We start from the raw sequence: 19,177 nt of genomic DNA on the forward strand, positions 1-19,177 counted from the left end.
AAGATGAATTGCTTCTATTTCACAATTACTTTTTAAAGTTGATCTTAATTCAGACATTTCAAGTGATTTTGCAATCAAACCTGGAATGCCACATCATAGGACTTCTTTTTTTCCTTCTAGAGTGTAGGTGTGTTTGATTAACACATCATGAGAAACCATAAAATAATAAAGTATATAACAACATCTGTTATTGATTGATCTGTTTTAAATTACCTGCCAGTTTAAAGTCTTACAGCACTGACCTTTTTGAATGGTTATTCTCCTCAAAAAGTTATTTTCAAATATACATATATATATACACATATATATACATATATACACACACACATATATATATATACACACACACACATTAAAAACTTCTATCATTTTATGCATAAAAGTATAAAACATTCACTTTTAGCATTATTGACACATATTCAATGTAGGTATATTGTGGACAATGTAACTTCTATTTTGGTAAGAAAAAATTGGGAACCTTATCTAATCAAAACAGAGAATAAAACATCTGAATGATCAAAACACATTTCCCCTACTGAGGAACAAACTTAAATAAATGCTTGCAAACTTACAAATGCTTACAACCTTGTCGCTAATGGAGAAAAACAGAAATGACTGAGAGAAGACCCTTGAATACCAGAAGGTGCCAATGCTGTGAAAAACTGGGTCGCTAAGTGCAATGGCATAAATGGCACATGTGAGGGGCAAGTCACAACTGCAGTGCTTCATTAGTTCCCTGCAGCAGAAGAAAAAACTTCCTTGTATCAAGACATTAAGAACAGACAAAACATTAATAGAAAGTTACACTTAGGCCAGTGTGGTGGCTCATACCTATAATCCCAGCACATTGGAGAGTTGAGGTGGGTGGATCACTTGAACTCAGGCGTTCAAGACCAGTCTAAGCAACATGGTGAAATCCTGTCTCTACCAAAAATACAAAAAAAGGTATCTGGGTGTGGTGGCATGTGCCTGTAGTCCCACCTACTCAGGAGGCTGAGGTGGAAGGATCGCTTGAGCCTGGGAGGCGGAGGTTGCAGTGAGCCGAGATTGCGCCACTGCATGCCAGCATGGGCGACAGAGTGAGACCTCCATATCAAAAAATAAAATAAAATAAAATAAAGTTGCATTTAGTCTCCAGTTTTGCTTCCTAGACAAAAGATAAAATCACCCAAGCTCCCAGAAAATTAAGAAACAAACCATTTGAGGATGAACACCTAAGACACACGTCATTGAAGGCACCAAATGCTTGATCTTGCATCATGACCTAAAAGTCTCTTCTACTGGATTATACATTTTTTGAGGGTACAGACTGTGATGCATGTACTTTAGCATCCCCTATGGCACTCAGCTAATGCCTGGCACAAAGCAGTTATTCAATAAATATCTGTTGAATTACTCACTGCCTTTAATTGAAAAATGGCATTCATCAGTCATGGTTACTATTTAGAAATAAACTTGAAAGTCTGTGGGCATACTCTGGCTCTGGAGGCTGCCCAATTCATGAATTGTTCATTGCTCAATTAAACTCTTTTAAATTAAAAAAAAAAAAAGAAATAAACTTGGATAGCTCAAACACCAGCACAAAGCCAGTTTGTAAAAATTATTTAAGTATGTTTATCCTCTACACTTATCTTCCAGATGGAAGAGTTGTTGTCCCACATAGCAGATGATAGAAGATATTTATATGTACATATTAAGTATTTTTTCCTCCAGTTTTAGAACATGCCGAGTGCCCACAAGACTATAACTAAAGGGATTAAATCAATTTTCAAGCCAGCAGCTCATGGTGCTAACATTCTACCTCTATGCATGGTGGGCTGCACTCTGGATTTGAAATCGCCATTTTTTTTTTTTTTTTCCTGCTGAGCCTTACTAGGAAAATCAAACTAGAGGCTCAATGCTCACCCCAGCGAACGAGCACATGACAGTTCCCTAGAGGAATTTTCTTTTTTTAATCTCAAATATCTTCTAGGACTTTAGAAATACATAATTTAAAGAGCAGGAAGCTGTATAACCTATGTCAATTCAACCACTAAAAGTGAAAATTTTAAATTTATTGCTTCTTTATGACAGATTAGAAAAACTAATTCTTTAAGAAATATGTGTGTATATGTGAACACACAGATGTAGAAAATGGATCAATAAATACGTGATTAGGTATTATATTTACTTTTGGCATTTCTGCAAAATGTTAATCACTCGATTAAAAGTAAATTACATTTTGACATAACTCATACTGCTCTTTCTTTATTGTCATTCACCTTTCCTGAGTAGCATTTTAAAGGCCTCTCTTTAAAGTCTAATTCATCTCTACTTAGTCATCAGATAGGATAGAATTAAAGCTCAGAGACATGACACTGTCTTCTGTTGTGACAGTGTAATTCATTGCAAATAATTCTTCATTCCTGAAACTCTAATTACTCTATTTTAAATCTCTTAATCTCAAGATAATGCATTTCACCTTAATTCCATTAAGGATTGTCATATTTCATTGCACAATCTTCTTATCTTATAATATTATTTCATAGGCACTTAATTATATATAATGTAATTACATTTCTGCTGCATTTAATCAATCAAATAATGTAATTCATTTTCTTATAGAAAATAAGCAGCCTTGTATTTCATTGACCAGTACACATTATACTTTGTTCTAAAACATAGTTATACTTTTAAAAATAATCTTTAAAAAATATGATCTCGGTAAATAAGAAACATATTCAGAAAGATCAATAACACTGTTTGCTGAGAAAATGGCTTAAAATGCCCTGCTATTCTTTTAAGATTTAAGTAAAATAAATGTGGAAAAATATATACTGAATTGAAAATAATTCATGCACTTATTTATTAAATTTCTATGGAATTTAAAATATGAGTTCTAAATGTAATTTCTAAATATCTGGTAAGGTTTTAAAAAAAATCTTCGGTGACTATGAAAATGCTATTAGCCCCTTACAAGCTCACCAGTGCCATGGCAAAAAGCTTTCTAAAGCTTTCTAACAGCAGTAGCCTCAGAAGCACAGCAAGGATGCTATGGGTTTCCAGAGTAAATGTTCAGGAAAACTCATTCTTTTTGGTCACCTAGTTTTTTTGTTAGCTTCTGGCCTTAAGGGCCCTGCTTTGTATGACTTGATTATCAATGACCACTATTAGTCATCTGCTTCCATCAAACATACAATTCAATTAATAGTTGAAGCTATTAACTCTTCACATGTCTATTTTGCACTTTGTGCCCTCCCCAAACCACTAACCCATGCTCCTTGTGGGCTATGGAGGTGATAAGGCAGGAAAATTTTGATTTTTTTTTTTTTTTTTTGAGGTGAAGTTTTGCTCCTTTTTGCCCAGGCTGGAGTGCAATGGTGCGATCTCTCGGCTCACTGCAACCTCTGCCTCCCGGGTTGAAGCAATTCTCCTGCCTCAGACTCCAGAGTAGCTGGGATTACACGCACGTGCCACCACGCCCTGCTAATTTTGTATTTTTAGTACAGACAGGGTTTCACCACGTTGGCCAGGCTGGTCTCAAACTCCTGACCTCAGGTGATCTGCCCGCCTCAGCCTCCCAAAGTGCTGGGATTACAGGTGTGAGCCACCACGCCCAGCCAATTTTGCTATCTTTTTAGCAGCTCTCCTAAGTTCATGAAAGATCATCTTTGAATTTTATGTACCTTGTCACCTTAATTGTCACAAATGATTACAGGCTGAGTATAATATTCCATAAGAACTTGAATTTCAGGTTTGGCAATTAATATTTGTAGTCTAGCTTAATATAACATATTCTGAAAATTTTATATTCAGAAGAAATAAGTAATGTCTCCTTTTTTCTACTTTAGGAAATTTCTAGAAAATCTATCATTAGAAACATCACAAAATAATTATTTACTTCTGTAAATATTACTTAACCCTTTAGAAGGGAAATATATACTTTTTCTTCATACCTAGGACCACATTTACAAGATGTTTCCATATAACCAAAGGCTTACTAAAAAGCAATTTAATTAAAAGAGACACTCTTAAGATGAATGGTTGGACCACTGAGTTCTTTGACACCAGTGTTTGGCGACATAGTCTTCGAACCCAACAAGCAGTAGACATTTTATATGCACACACATATGTAGTTTTAATATTCCTCTCATTAAACAAAGAGCATGAAGTTGGACCACAGCTATTCACCTTTGATGTAGCAATGAAATGCTAACAGCATAAAACAAAAAGCTGTAGTCATTCTCCCAAGTACATTCTGAACCTGTCTGGCTAGCAAAGCGTACCAGTTATGTTAATAGGCACCACGTCAGCCTGGACTGTTTGGGCTTGCTGTCGCATCTTCTCTTCTGGTGTTGGCAGTGGAAGCGACTTGGTCCAGTTCGTCTGAGTATTAAGGTCGGAGAAGTCACTTGAGGCTGGTGTTTTAGGTCTCCTGATGGAAATAAATCTTTCTTCTTCTGATGAAGACAGAGAACACTGCAGAGAAAAAAGAAGCAGCAGCCACAGTGTATAAAGAGCTGGCAGAAACATTTTAAAATATATTTCTTATTTTTAAAAAAATTGGACTGGTTTAAAAGAAGCCAAAATAATTGATCGCTTTTAGGAACAGAAGCAATGGTTTGCTCAGCCTCTTGAGTCTGACCTATAATATGCATGATTCACACCAGCCTTAGTCTGTAAACTGTGAGGACTGCAAAAGGTTCTGCTGACCCACAAAATCTTTGAAGTCCTTTCTGCTTTCCCTCTATCTACTGTGGTCAGAAAGCTCATGGAATGGCCGGCGTGGTGGCTCATGCCTGTAATCCCAGCACTTTAGGAGGCTGAGGTGGGTGGATCACTTGAGGTCAGGAGTTCAAGACCAGCTGGCCAACATGGTGAAACCCCATCTCTACTAAAAATAAAAAATTTAGTCAGGCGTGGTGGTGGGCACCTGTAATCTCAGCTACTTGGGAGGCTGAGGCAGGAGGATTGCTTGAACCCGGGAGGCAGAGGTTGCAGTGAGCCAAGATTGTGCCACTGCACTCCAGCCTAGGCAAAAGAGTGAGACTGTCTAAAAAAAAAATTTTAAAAAGAAAGTTCGTGGGTTTAGTTTAACATTAGAAGCCTAGAGAAAAACATCATGGCTGTGGCCATCAGTTTCCATTTTTATTAAAATTTAGTTTTGCTCAAAGTAATTTCTAGCCTCAATCTTATTTCCTTTAGGCTCTGACTTCAAAGGACATTTCAAAAATGATAGAGCTATTGTTGTTCAACTATTTGTGCTCTTCCAAAGCCATTTATATGGGAAAAAATCAGTGTGAAATTGTTAACTTATACGGCACTGACTAAAGCTCTGCTCTGAGCCATATCAGAATTCTACGAAAACATTTCTAGCAGTGTCTGTTTTGATACAGATTAACATCCTCACTGAAGAGCCCTTCTTCAATACCTTTCTTTCCCATAACACCTTAAAAAGTGTAAGCAAGAAAGTTGTGTTGGCGAGCATTTTTTGATGGACTTCAGCCTGGCTCCACAGCAGCTGGTTCTGTGACTAAGATGCTCCAAGAAGGCCAAATGAGTGCAGGGTGCTTAGGAACACAACGAAAAAGGGTAATCGACTTTCGTGGGGGAAATGACAGCTTATAATATAAAATAAATGTGTAATAACTGCTCTTTAAGTCCGAAGCATTTAAACGGAACTACCAATTATGAAAATAAAGCTTTTAGAAAGAATTTCACTGGAGAATAAAAAGTCAGTGAACCTTCCCAAAGGGAATACCTGTACAACCAGCACCCAGTTCAATACACCCGCTACCCCAACCACATACCCCCAAACGAGGGTAAGTGCTATGTCAACTTCTAATACCACAGCTTTGTTTTGCCTATATTTGAACTTTCTGTAAAGGGAATCGCACTGTCTGTTCTCTTTTGTGACCTATTTATTTCACTTAACGTTATGTTTGTGAGGATTTATCTAACTTTACAAGGCATGTTTTAACCTTTCTGGATTTAAGGCAAGTCTCTAAGAGGACACAGATGAGAAATATAAAGAAATGCATTGATTAGAAATTTTAGGCCAGGCACGATGGCTCACGCCTGTAATCCCAGCACCCTGGGAGGCCGAGGTGGGCGGATCACCTGAGGACGGGAGCTTGAGACCAGCCTGAGCAACACAGAGAAAACCTGTCTCTCCTAAAAATACAAAATTAGCTGGGCGTGCTGGCGCATGCCTGTAATCCCAGCTATTGGGGAGGCTGAGGCAGGAGAATCGCTTGAACCCAGGAGGCAGAGGTTGCAGTGAGCCGAGATCGCACCATTGCGCCCCAGCCTGGGCAACAAGAGCAAAATTCTGTCTCAAAAAAAAAAAAAAAAAAAAAAATTCAAACACAAGAATACTGTCATCACTGTTTACTGCTACTGCATTCATCTTGCTGCAAAAATCTGTATTTATTCTACAACTACTAGGGCTCTATAAATCTGAAAAAGATTAGGCAAGAGCTAATGAAAATAGTTTGCTGTTGGCGATAGGGCCCTAGACTAAGAATCCAAAGACCTGAGTCTGTTCCTAAACTTTGATGTTTCCTTTGCTGTAAAATGGGGCTATACAGCCTACCTTTGTGCATCCACAGAGGTGTTCTTAGGACCCAATAAGATGATAAATGTTAAAGTGTCTATGACTGTTAAATATCATGGATATGGGCCAGGCGTGGTGGCTCATGCCTGTAATCCCAGCATTTTGGGAGGCTGAGGCGGGCAGATCACAAAGTCAGGACATCGAGACCATCCTGGCCAAAATGGTGAAATCCCGTCTCTACTAAAATAAAAATAAAATTAGCTGGGCGTGGTGGTGTGCACCCATAGTCTCAGCTACTCGGGAGGTTAAGGCAGGAGAATCGCTTGAACTCGGGAGGCTGAGGCTGCGGTGAGCTGAGGTTGCGCCACTGCACTCCAGCCTGGCAACAGATCGAGACTCTGTCTCAAAAAAAAAAAAAAATTTGTGGATATGGAGGTGGTGCTGATATAAATATGACTTTAGAAAAGCAAAGTCATGAATTGACATGTACTCACTTTTTTTTCTTTTACAAGGAGACTAACAATAATAAAGGCATGTGGAAAAGATAAATCATATAATTAGATATCTCAATACATTTACTTGATGTTCTTAATAAATAAAACACATAAAATGATCATCCAGTTTCTTTTCCACCTAAGGAAAATGTGAAATAATGTTTTAATTAAATTGACAAATATACTCAATTTATAAACTGAGCATGTTGTTGGTGTCTTGTAATACTAAATTGCACTATATCCATTGATACTTGATCTGATTCTGGTTAAAAGGGTTAAAACTCACACAGATCCTTAAAGACAATCAAAGGAATTTTTGGGTCAGCAGCAGCTAAGCCATACTGATGTAAATCAATTATTTCCAGCTGTTTTGCAGTTGTGACACTTAAGTTTGATTTATAATACATATTCTCTACCCTTGAGATGTGCACACACACACACACACACTTAAAATTAATGTCACTGAAGAATTTCATGGCAGTTTGTATAAGGGCCACATGTCTGAGTTTGAATTTCAAGCTAGTAAATTAGAGGATTACTCCAATTTCCTGATACATACACATAAATATAATTTTTCAGGCAACCTTGAATTACAGTATAAAGCTTGAAGGCAGTAAGAAGCAAATCCTAACCAGAAAGGTTTAAAAGAAAGAAAAGTAAAGCTTTCAGGCTACAGCTCTCTATGCCCTGGAGCAAGGGCTCCCTTTTCCACATGACGTCTGCTGTGGGAGCAGGATGAAGCACTGTCTACCATTTGTAAGCATCTCAATGGTGCTCATCAGCCCCACTAACCTACTTTTCTTCTAGTTGACTGACACTGTCAGAATCGATAACTCTCATAATGAAACAGCACTTCCCCGTAGGGACAATCACCACAGATCACTCCAGCATGACAACTGACAAAGAGAGTCCATTTTGTAAAGTGCTCCTTTCTCTTACAAGAAAATTTCCCAGACAAGCAGGGCACAGATAAAGTTATATGCAAATGTGACTGTTAGGTCTCACAATCTACTAGATGACAGTAAAACACCAGCATGGATGACTTCCACAATGATATGACTTTCATGCCTCCCAGTGTGTATAAACACAGCAGGGGCACAGAAAAACCTCCCTCATTTCAGTGGCAGAACACATGATTAGCCCATTAAGATGGACATAGTAATACCGGATTATTACACTGGCCTCTTAACTACCCCCACTTTTCTGCCCTTGTTGACCATCCTCCCCTGCTCCTCCTCTTCCAATAGTCTACTCTCAATACAGCAGGCGAAGGAATCCTTTTAGAAATGTAAGTCAGATCATGTTGCTCCTCTGTTCAAACCCTCCAAAGTCCTTACTATGACCTCCAAGACCCTACATGATCTACCAGCTGGCCACTGTTATCTCCCTGACTGCATTTCCTACTGTTCTTTCCCATATTTATTCTACTCCAGCCACACCATCCTCCATGCTGTACCTTGTACCTTCCATGCACACTCGCGCCTCAGGGCCTTTGCACTTGCTGTTCCCATGGCCTGAAATGCTCCTCCCGTAGACATCCACACAGGTAGCCCCTTCTTTTTCTTTAGGTCCCCTTAAGAGTCCTCTTTTGTTGAGGTCTTAACTGTTCATCCTATTCAATTTCAACCTCTTTCTAATATTTTGTATCCCCTTTCCCTGCTTTTTTTCTCTTTAGTACATATAACTAGTACACATATATTTTATTTATATATATTGTCTCTCCGACAAGAATATAAGTTCCATGAAGCTTTGAATCAGAATTGCATAGAAGGTTATTTCAGAATTTGAGCTTCAGAAGGGCCACGATTTAGTAACTGATAGCTATATGCCTTGCCCTTGGTGGGGACTTTATAGAACTTATCTCACTTAATCTTCACAGTGTTTGCCTTGTTTAATAATAAGGAAGTGGAGACTCAAAGGAGTAAAGTAACTTGACTTTTGGAAAGTTCACAAGTGGGCAGTTGAGATTAGAAGCCAGAACTGACCCCAAAGTCTCCCCTGTGAAACAGTGTAAAATAACAATGTGGCAATATTTACAATAAATTACTAGGTCTTCTGGTCTCAAAACAAAATCTCCCTTTATGTCTGTAAATAAGAATGAAACCTTTTGAAAAGCTATACAAGTAAAAAAACAGTGTGTACCAGCATCCTGGCACTGTCACTTACTAGGTGTATGTTTTGATCAACTCAATCTCCCCATACAGAGAACAGAATGACCCAAGTAGCATTCAAATGCTTCATGTTAATGAAATCCCTCAATATAGGGTGACTTTTTTAAAAACTGAGTTTAAAATTGCCTTGCTCTCAGAACTTAAATGCAGTTTTGGGATCTGTCAGTTGGTCAATAATGTTCACCAATACCCCATATCCTGGTCCTGGGAGGAATGGAGAGTCACAAATGAAACATAAGCCATGATTCCTTGTGTCAAATTGTTTCATTTAGAAAGGGAGAGAAACAGGCAACACTGACAGTTACTTTGTAAATTTTGGATGCTGGAAGACCTGCATTTTAGAGACTTCTAGGTTCTACCCGGAAATCAGACAAGCTCTCACCAGATGGACAGTGTGGGGCCTGAAATAGGGTCTCTTTCCCATATATTCTCATACGAAATATGCTCTCTTTCTCAGAAGAGCCAACTGATCCAAAAGTGGGATTAACTAAGAAACACAGATTAATTCAGTCTTTTTTGTTTTGATTTGTTAGTAAAAGTTAGAAAACTGAATTATAGCCAGAGCTAAACTTAGTATTCATTTAGAATTATTACATGAAAATAGAGAACAGATGAAACTATATAGAACATATCAACTATACAGAACTATATAGTTGATGTCTTTAAGAAGACAGCCACATACATTCCAGTCCTTTTTGGAAGACACTTAGTCTTTGATGCTCTTCCTCCCAGAATTAAACCTCTTGTGTTGACTCTTGGTTTTCAAGATCCTTAATAGTTTCATAGGGTGCCAAAACGTCTGCAGCCTTTTGGCTATATGTTTCTTCTGTCTTTAGTAGATTTAGACACAAGAGACCCTCACTGATTTCTGTTCTCTGTGCATTCTTTTTTTTTTCTCCTGGCGCCAACAACAACAGAAAAAGTGGGGGTAGTGGAAATGAATCCATGTAGAAGCACAGTTCATGGTTCATCCAGCAACTCCATGATGGCCAACAGGTGACTTCCACATCCATATTATTAAGTAACTTTAATTGTTCATTCTTTTTTTCTTTTGAGACGGAGTCTCACTCTGTCGCCCAGGCTAGAGTGCAGTGTAGTGGCGCAATCTTGGCTCACTGCATCTCCGCCTCCCAGGTTCAAGCAATTCTCCTGCCTCAGCCTCCCAAGTAGCTGGGATTACAGGCACGTGCCACCATGCCTGGCTAATTTTTGTATTTTTAGTAGAGATGGGGTTTCACCACATTGGCCAGGCTGGTCTCAAACTCTTGACCTCAGGTAATCCGCCCGCCTCAGCCTCCAAAGTGTTGGGATTACAAGCGTGAGCCACCATGCCCAGCCTAATTGTTCATTCTTTCATATGTATTATATTAGTCCCTTTACCTCAAATCTAATTGCTTTATCAAGAGCTTTAAACTTTCTTTTGTTGTTGTTGTTTTTGAGATGAGGTCTTGCCCTCTTGCCCAGGCTAGAGTGCAGCACAGTGATTACAGCTCATGGCAGCCTCAGATTCCTGGGCTCAAGCAATCCTCCTGCCTCAGTTTCCCAAGTAGCTGGGAGTATGGATGTGCATCAGCGTCCCTGGCTAATTTATTTATTTTTCATTTATTTTTATTGTATTATTATTTTTTTGAGACAGGGTCTCACTCTGTTACCCAGGCTAGAGTGCAGTGGCAGAATCACAACTCACTGCAGACTCAAACTCCTGGGTTCAAGCGATCCTCCCACCTCAGCCTCCCGAGTAACTAGGATGACCGGCACAAGCCACCATGCCCAGCTAATTTTTGAAAACTTTCTGTAGAGACAGGGTCCTGCACATTGCCCAGGCTGGTCTTGAACTCCTAGGCTCAAGCCATCCTCCTGCCTCAGCTGCCAAAGTGCTGGAATTACAGGCTTGAGCCACTGCACCAGGCCCTAAGAGCTCTAAACTTTCTTATCACACAGTGAATTAAAATATTTTGGATCTTAACTATCCCATATTAAGCGATCCTTTCCTCAAATGAAAGAAAATACTTAATTAGAACATATATGTTTAAACTGATACAGTAAGTTGTTTGTAATCATATTTTAGAATAACAAATTATGTATTAAAATCATATAACATAATGAATATTCAAGAACTCACTACTCAACCCATGACCTAAAATATTACTAAAAACCTGCATCTCCCTCCATGCCCCATCCCATCTCCCTACTTCCCCAGAGGTGACCACTAGCCTGAATTTTGTGTTCCTAATTACTCCTTGTTATATGTGTGCGTGTGTGTGTGTGCGTGCGTGCATAAACTTGCTTTGACTTTTACAAAAATAGTATTATTCTCTTTGTGTTTTTCTTACTATTATCTTTCTAAGACACATCCATGTAGTTGTGTGAAACTGTAATTCATTCATTTCACTGGGGTATACATTCCACTCCAGTACTAATTTATTCACATTTTTTATTGATGGACAATTGGGTTGTAAAAGATGCTCTTTGTATTATCTCAACAATGCAAAACTCCCCATAAGAGAATGAGAATGGTTAGGAGGAAAGGACTGTGGCAAAGGCTCTACTCCCCATACAGTCATTACTGGGGGAAAAACATGAGCTCTAGAGTCGTAAGTCTAGGTTTAAATCCTGGTTTTGCTTTTAGGGGTGATAGATGTGTTCACTCTCTTGATTATGGTAATGGTCTCCTGTGTGTATACATATGTCAAAATTTATTAAGTTGTATACTTTAAATATGTATAGATTATTTTATGTAAGTTATACTTCAATAAAAGGCGTTTTAATAAAGAAAGATCTTGTTTCAGTATTTAAAAACTATGTGATCTTAGGCAAGTGATCTAATCTCTCCAAGATACAGTTTTCTCATCCATGATATGGGCATAATCAAAGCTACTTTGCATGGTTGCAATAAATACTGAATATATTCACATACAGCACTGAGCACAGTCCCTGGCGCCTGAGCCTTTCCATGTGCCAAGTGCTTGGCATCATACTGGAAACACAGAGATCAACAAGATAGGGATGCTGTCCATTAATCTAGAAGAGAAGGCAGGTATAAACAGACCCTGATTATAGAGTAGTGGGATGGAAACAGCAAGAGAAACTGGAATGGGTCATTGGAGACATTCTCACTGGTTTGCAGGCAAAAAGGCGTGGGAATGACAGACCCCAATTTTCTCATTTTTGTCTGCAATGGCATGGAATAAGAAGGTGCCATAACTGCAGAGCAGTGAGCATTGACTCATTTGTGTTTCTACAGTTTCCTGAAATTACTCACAGAGACCCAGTAACACATGATTGGACATGGAGTAATCACTTCTCGACTGTAAGCTGCCCTAGGCCAAGAATGGGATCCATATACTGAGACCAAGTAGCACTTAAAAACTTTTTTGGGGGAAAAAAAAATTGAGTGAAGCATACCAGACAAGTCAAAGAGGAATAAGAGATGACAAAATTGGGCATAATGAGGAGGAATTGAGGTAACTGAGTAATCTTGCCCTTTTGCTTAACCAGCATGGTGCGATGAAAAGAAATGAGCTGCAAGGAGCCCCGCCTTCACATGCTCCCTGCAAGGAGCCCCGCCTTCACATGCTCCCTGCAAGGAGCCCCGCCTTCACATGCTCCCTGCAAGGAGCCCCGCCTTCGCATGCTTCCTGGTGCTTTCGAGCTATGTGATCTTGAGAAAGCCATTTCATATTTCTGAGTCTCCATTTCCAGATTAAAATAATAGTAATAGCTATTAAAATAATCTGTTTCATGGGGCTGTTTGTGGAAAATAAGATCTAATTTGTGAAAAAGTTCTATATCCTAACGTGTACCCCGATGAACAAGCTAGCAATAGCATAAACACTGGTAGTGCCACACCTAGATAACCTGTAAAGCCATGACAATCAGAAATTCGTCAGTAGCTGCTGAAACCTCTCAAATTTATTGCCTTGGGCAGGAAATTCTATGTGGGTGGAACAAAAGACGAGATGATTGGGAGAGTGGCCAAATTTTTATAAAAACAGACATTGTCTATTGAATCATTTTCTTTGAAGCGTGGTTTGAAATACCAATCAGCTTAACAATACTTATCATCATCATCTGAGCATCTAGTCTGTGCCAGGCACTGTGCTAAGGGTTTCACAAACATTAATTTACTTCAACCTCACACCAACTCTCCAAGGTAGGTTAGGGTAACTATGTAATTTTATCGAAACCAGAACACCTCTGAGAGTGAAAGGGGGTGCAATTAATAATTACACAGAATAACAGCTGTAAACCAGGGCTGTTCTAAGCAAACCGGAACATGTGGTTTTTATCTCTTTACAGTTGAGGAACCTGAACCTCACAGACGAAAGCAACTTATCCAAGGCCACTGAGCTCTGACAGGTGGAAAAGCTGCCCCAAACCTACGCTCTCAAGCATCATGTTAAATAAGCCTCCTGTGTTTACAGGTATGGCAGCAAGGTTACTGCCTTTTCTTCAAAGTCTTCCTTTGATTTAAATATTTCTTATCAACAAAGCCTAAAACAGAAGCTGACATGCCAGTTCAAAGAATAACAGGAAACAGGGAAATTTCGATTTCTGTCACGACTATTAAAGCCAACTGTTTACTGCCAAAAATCTAGATCTAATACATCTCTTTAGGGGTGAATTTTACACAAGAGATTGCATAACTCATGATTGATATCCTTTCTGCTAAGACAATGGGGATTCTGTGAAGGTTTCCCAGATTCAGTGAACGTATCATCAAATATAACTTCCGATAATGGCAGGTGGAAAAATTCCCTATCGACTCACAGTAAGTATTTTCGCACTGATAACTGACCTGCCTTCAAATGCAAGAACCTCTTTGGCAGTACTTGGCATATGCTGAAAACTGAAAAGAGAAAAAAGTCAAAAACAGTACACAAAGCAATGGTGTACTCTTTGATTTCAGAGTTGAATGAAAAGGTATTTTCTGGAATTTCTTTCTTTCTTTTTTTTTTTTTGGAGATGGAGTCTCACTTACTCTGCCGCCCAGGCTGGAGTGGAGTGGTGCGATCTCAGCTCACTGCAACCTCCACCTCCCAGATTCAAGCAATTCTCCTGCCTCAGCCTGAGTAGCTGGGACTACAGGTGCATGCCACCACGCCTGGCTAATTTTTATATTTTCAGTAGAGACAGGGTTTCACCATGTTGGCCAGGCTAGTCTGGAACTCCTGACTTCAAGGGATCCGCCTGCCTCAGCCTCCCAAAGTGCTGGGATTACAGGCACACACTACCATGCCTGGCTTATTTTCTGGAATTTCTAAATTGCTTTGCCAACAGTATTTTTTTCAATGCATCATGTTTATGTTTAGATGATATGCATAACATATACAATTGGAAATATTTTCAACAATTTTCTTCTTGCTACACTATATTCCCACTTTGAACATCAAAGATATGTGTGGATCTCGTTAGCAAAACATCTTTCTTCATAACATAACACATAGAGTCCTACTTGGTGTTTCACATTAGGATAATGAAGATAATTATTCTAGAACAATTAGCCAGAGTAAATAACCAGAATCGACGTCCTCTAGGTTCTCTTTTCTAATTTATATGTCCTTAACCTTTGCCATATTAGCAACTCATCTTAAGCACATAATGGATTTTTAATATTTGTTGAATGCAAATTAGATGATTTTTGTAAGAAATACCTCTTTTAAAGTCAATAATTTGTTAACTCATGCATCCCTTCTTCCATATAGTCACTGCTCTTTGTAACACACCCCTCCCCTCAACACCTACTAGGAAATACAAAATAAAAGGTTTTCCAGATCGAATTTCCCTTCCAAATTGACTCCTACACACTCTATATTTAAAATGATCCCCTTTGGGAGGCCGAGGTGGGCGGATCACGAGGTCAGGAGCCCAAGACCAGCCTGGTCAACATAGTGAAACCCCGTCTCTACTAAAAATACAAAAATTAGCTGGGCATGGTGGCACGTGCCTGTGGTCCCAGCTACTCGGGAGGCTGAGGCAGGAGAATCTCTTGAACCCAGGAGGTGGAGGTTGTGGTGAGTCAAGATTGTGCCACTGTACTCCAGACTAGGTAACAGAGTGAAACTCCAACTGAAAAAAAAAAAAAAAAAAATCCCAACTGTTAGGGTGATGTTAAGAACATGAACCACGGTTAGGAGTCTTAGTCTTAACACGGAAGACCATACTGCTGGCCTGGAGCCCCTTTCAACAGTTACTGGATTCCCACTTGATTTCAAATGATAGCTTGATGATCTACTAAATCCCATGAAGATTTAGGTCTATTTCTAGACTTCTATTCTGTTTTTAATATTCTGTTATACTGGTTTGCACATTCAGCTGCCACAATGGAGGAATCCCTAACTCTATGTTCTCATACCGGGTCAAGTCAGTTCTTCCTTACTGCTCTCTTGTTTTACAGCTTTCCTAGCTACACAAACTTTAGATTCAGCTTCCTTAGTCGTCTCTCTCCTCCTCTCATCCCCCAAAGTAGCCTCAGATCAAGACAAAACAGAACAGCCTATAATCCCAGCACTTTGGGAGGCCAAGGTAGGTGGATCACTTGAGGTCCGGGGGTTCGAGACCAGCCTGGCCAAAATGGTGAAACCCCATCTCTACTAAAAGTACAAAAATTAGGCTGGGCGTGGTGGCTCACACCTGTAATCCCAGCACTTTGGGAGGCCAAGGAGGGCAGATCACAAGGTCAGGAGATCGAGACCATCCTGGCCACATGGTGAAACCCAGTCTCTACTACAAATACAAAAATTAGCTGGGTGTGGTGGCATGTGCCTGTAGTCCCAGCTACTCGGGAGGCTGAGCCAGGAGAATCGCTTGAACCTGGGAGGTAGAGGTTGCAGTGAGCCAAGTTCACACCACTGCACTCCAGCCTGGCAACAGAGTACGTGAAAATCTGTCTCAAAAAAAAAAAAACAAAAAAAAAAACCCAGAAAAAATCTACTCACGTTTTTATTGGTATTGTGTTAATCTTATAAATTAACTTGGGCAGAATGGTGAGCTTTCTGATATTAACGCCTCTGAGGATGTGATATGTCTTTTCAGTTATTCAAATCTTATTTGTGTTCTATAGTTTGTTTTTGTTTTTGAGAAAAGAGTCTTGCTCTGTCACCCAGGCTGGAGTGCAGTGGCACACTCTCGGCTCACAGCAACCTCCACCTCCTGGGTTCTCCTTCCTCAGCCTGCCGAGTAGCTGGGATTACAGGCACACACCACCATGCCCAGCTGATTTTTGTATTTTTAGTAGAGATGGGGTTTCGCCATGTTGGCCAGGCTGGTCTTGAACTCCTGACCTCAGGTGATCCACCCAACTTTGCCTCCCAAAGTGCTGGTATTACAGGCATGAGTCCCACGCCTGACCATATAGTATTTTTTAAAGTTTCTTTCATATAGATCTTGTCCTTTTCTTATTAAATGTATCTGTACTTTGCAATAGCTATTTTAAATAGATTTTTCCTGTTGTATCTTCTAATTTGACTTTGTAGATATGAAAGTTATTGATTGCTGTATATTACTTGTATACCTTACTATATCATTGAACTGTTATTTATAGAAGTTTTGAAATATTACTTTCTTGGATTTACCCAAGAAAGACTTAACCATGAACAAAGAGTGATAATATAATCTCAATCTTTCTCACTTCTGCACTTTTTACACTACAGCTTTCCTGATTGTCTTGGCTACCTCTTTCCATACTATGCTAAGTGGTAATAATGATAGTGAATGTCCTTCTCTTATATCTCATTCTAGTGGGAACAGCCCATTAAAAATTGTTGGATTTGGAGGACAAGGCAGATAAATTTTGTTAAGTTCTGCTATATTTTTTTAAATCAAGAATGGCCATTAAATTCTACCAAATAACTTGTCAATATCTACAGTTTTGACTATATAAAATTTTTCTCTTCAGATCTATTAATATTATTAATATATAATTAGATTACCTAGTATCAAGCATCCTTGCATTGCTATCGGAATAAACCCAGGTTGATTTTGGAATATTTCTTTTAATGAGCTGTCAGATTACGTTTCCTAATGTGTTATTTATGATCTCTAATGCCAATATTCATGAGTGAGACTGGCCAGTTAATTTTCTGCTTTGTACAGTCTTTGCCAGGTTTTGGCATCAGTGTTAAACTAATTCATTAAAAAGAACCGCACTTTTTCCCTTTGCTCTGAAAAAGTTTTAAGCATTGGACTTACCTACTCTTTAAAATCTTTGGTAGAAGACCGCCCCCACCCAACATACACAAGACCATCTGGGCTTGGCATTTTTTTCAATTTGATGTAAACGTTTGATAAGATTTCTTTTTTTTTATGGTAATCACTCTGATAAAATATTTCCTCTTTTCTAGGGTCAGTTTTGATACAATGTATAAACTGGAAAATCAGTTTCAAAATTACCTATGTATCTCCCATCTATCAAAAGATGATATACATCAGCCCTCTATAACGTGGGGTTCTGTATCTGTGCATTAAACCAACCATGGATTAAAAGTATTTGAACAAAAAATAAAAGAATGGCTGTGTTTGTAACTGTATATATACAGACATTTTTTGTGTCATTATTCCCTAAACAATACAGTATAACAACTCTTTACATAGCATTTACATTATATTAGTTATTATAAGTAATCTAGAGGTGATCTAGTATATGAGAGGATATGTGTAGGTTATATGCAAATACTACATCATCTGATATAAGGGACTTGAGCATCCATAGATTTGGGTATTTGTGGGAAATCCTGGAACCAGTTGCCCATGGATACTGAGGGATTACTGTATATAATTTTTATTCCTAATCATAAAATTCTCTGCTTAAAAAATGTGTTAGAGATTTCCTGTTAGCTATGCAATAAAGGAATTCCTTCACTTAGCACTGCCCCTCTGTGAGCGCACCTCAGCCTCCCTCCACCAGCACTCCTGTTATCACTCCTGGTGAACTCAATATCCATAGCACGACCCATCCAACACCTACCTGAATCCTTCACAGCCTCGCTTCTAACCTGCCTTGGCTGCCTACTCTATGGACATACTCCCTGACCTACCCATTGCAGGATGCCTGAATTGAGGTTTCAAAGGTGTTTCAAAAATTGGTAATCCTACAGAAGTTGCCGAAGGTGCGAGAAAAAGAAAAGAATTGAGACCAGGCCCAATGTTTTTGACTTAAGTGACTGGTAGAATGGAGTTGTGGTTTACTGAGGTGGTTTTGAAAAACTATGAAAGAAGGAAGTTTTTTTTTTGGAAATGTGAGAATCACATATTTGGATTTGGACAAGTTTGAGATACCTGTAAGACATTTCAGTGGAGATGGACAGTAAGCAGATAACTGCATGAGTCTGGGCTAAAGATATACATTTAGGAAACATCAATGCATGGTACTTAAAGCCTTGGGACTCAGTGAAATCACCCAAGGAGTCAGACTGCTACAGAGTAGCGGGGGTACAAGGTTTGAGCCCCGAGTTAAACCAACTTTTACATATTTGGAAGAAAAGGACTATTCAACAAATGATTGAGAGGCAATGGCTAGAGAGGGAAGAGGAAAACCAGGAGTGTGTTGTGTCATGAGAGCCAAGTATTCTTAGAAGAAAAGAATCATAAACAATGTCAAATGCTGAGAGGTTGAGTAAGATGAGGCCTGAGAATTAACTATTAAATATTAGATTTGGCAACGTGGAGGTGACTGGTAGACTTAACAAGAGTAGTTTAAGTGTGCGCTGGGGATAAAAGTTTGTTTGGAGGGGCTTCAAAAGAGATTGTGAAGAAAGGAAGTGGAGATGGCAAGTCTAGACAGTTCTTTGGACATGTTTAATTATAAAGTTGAACTGAACAATGTGGTAGAAATTTGAGGGGGATGAAAGGTCAAAGTAGGGTTTCTTCAAGATGAAAGAAAATATAGCATGTTTGTATAATGATGGTTATGATGCAATCAAGACAGAAAATTGATTAGGGCTAAGAGAGAGGGATGAATTGCAAATATGAAGTCCTTG

General features: G+C 39.0%; 1 protein-coding gene across 26 annotated transcripts in view; it reads right to left on the reverse strand.

The window, feature by feature from the left end:
• The window catches only part of NHSL1 (NHS like 1), a 271,170-nt gene that overhangs the window by 20,693 nt on the left and 231,300 nt on the right, over window positions 1-19,177 (reverse strand). For all 26 annotated transcript variants that reach the window (XM_047419113.1, XM_047419109.1, XM_047419110.1 and 23 more), the window contains one exon: window positions 4,266-4,458. In XM_047419113.1, coding sequence (XP_047275069.1) covers window positions 4,266-4,458 — 193 coding nt within the window. The remainder of the gene's footprint in view (window positions 1-4,265; window positions 4,459-19,177) is intronic.

The sequence above is a fragment of the Homo sapiens genome, chromosome 6 (genome assembly GCF_000001405.40).
Source record: "Homo sapiens chromosome 6, GRCh38.p14 Primary Assembly".
NCBI lineage: Eukaryota > Metazoa > Chordata > Mammalia > Primates > Hominidae > Homo > Homo sapiens.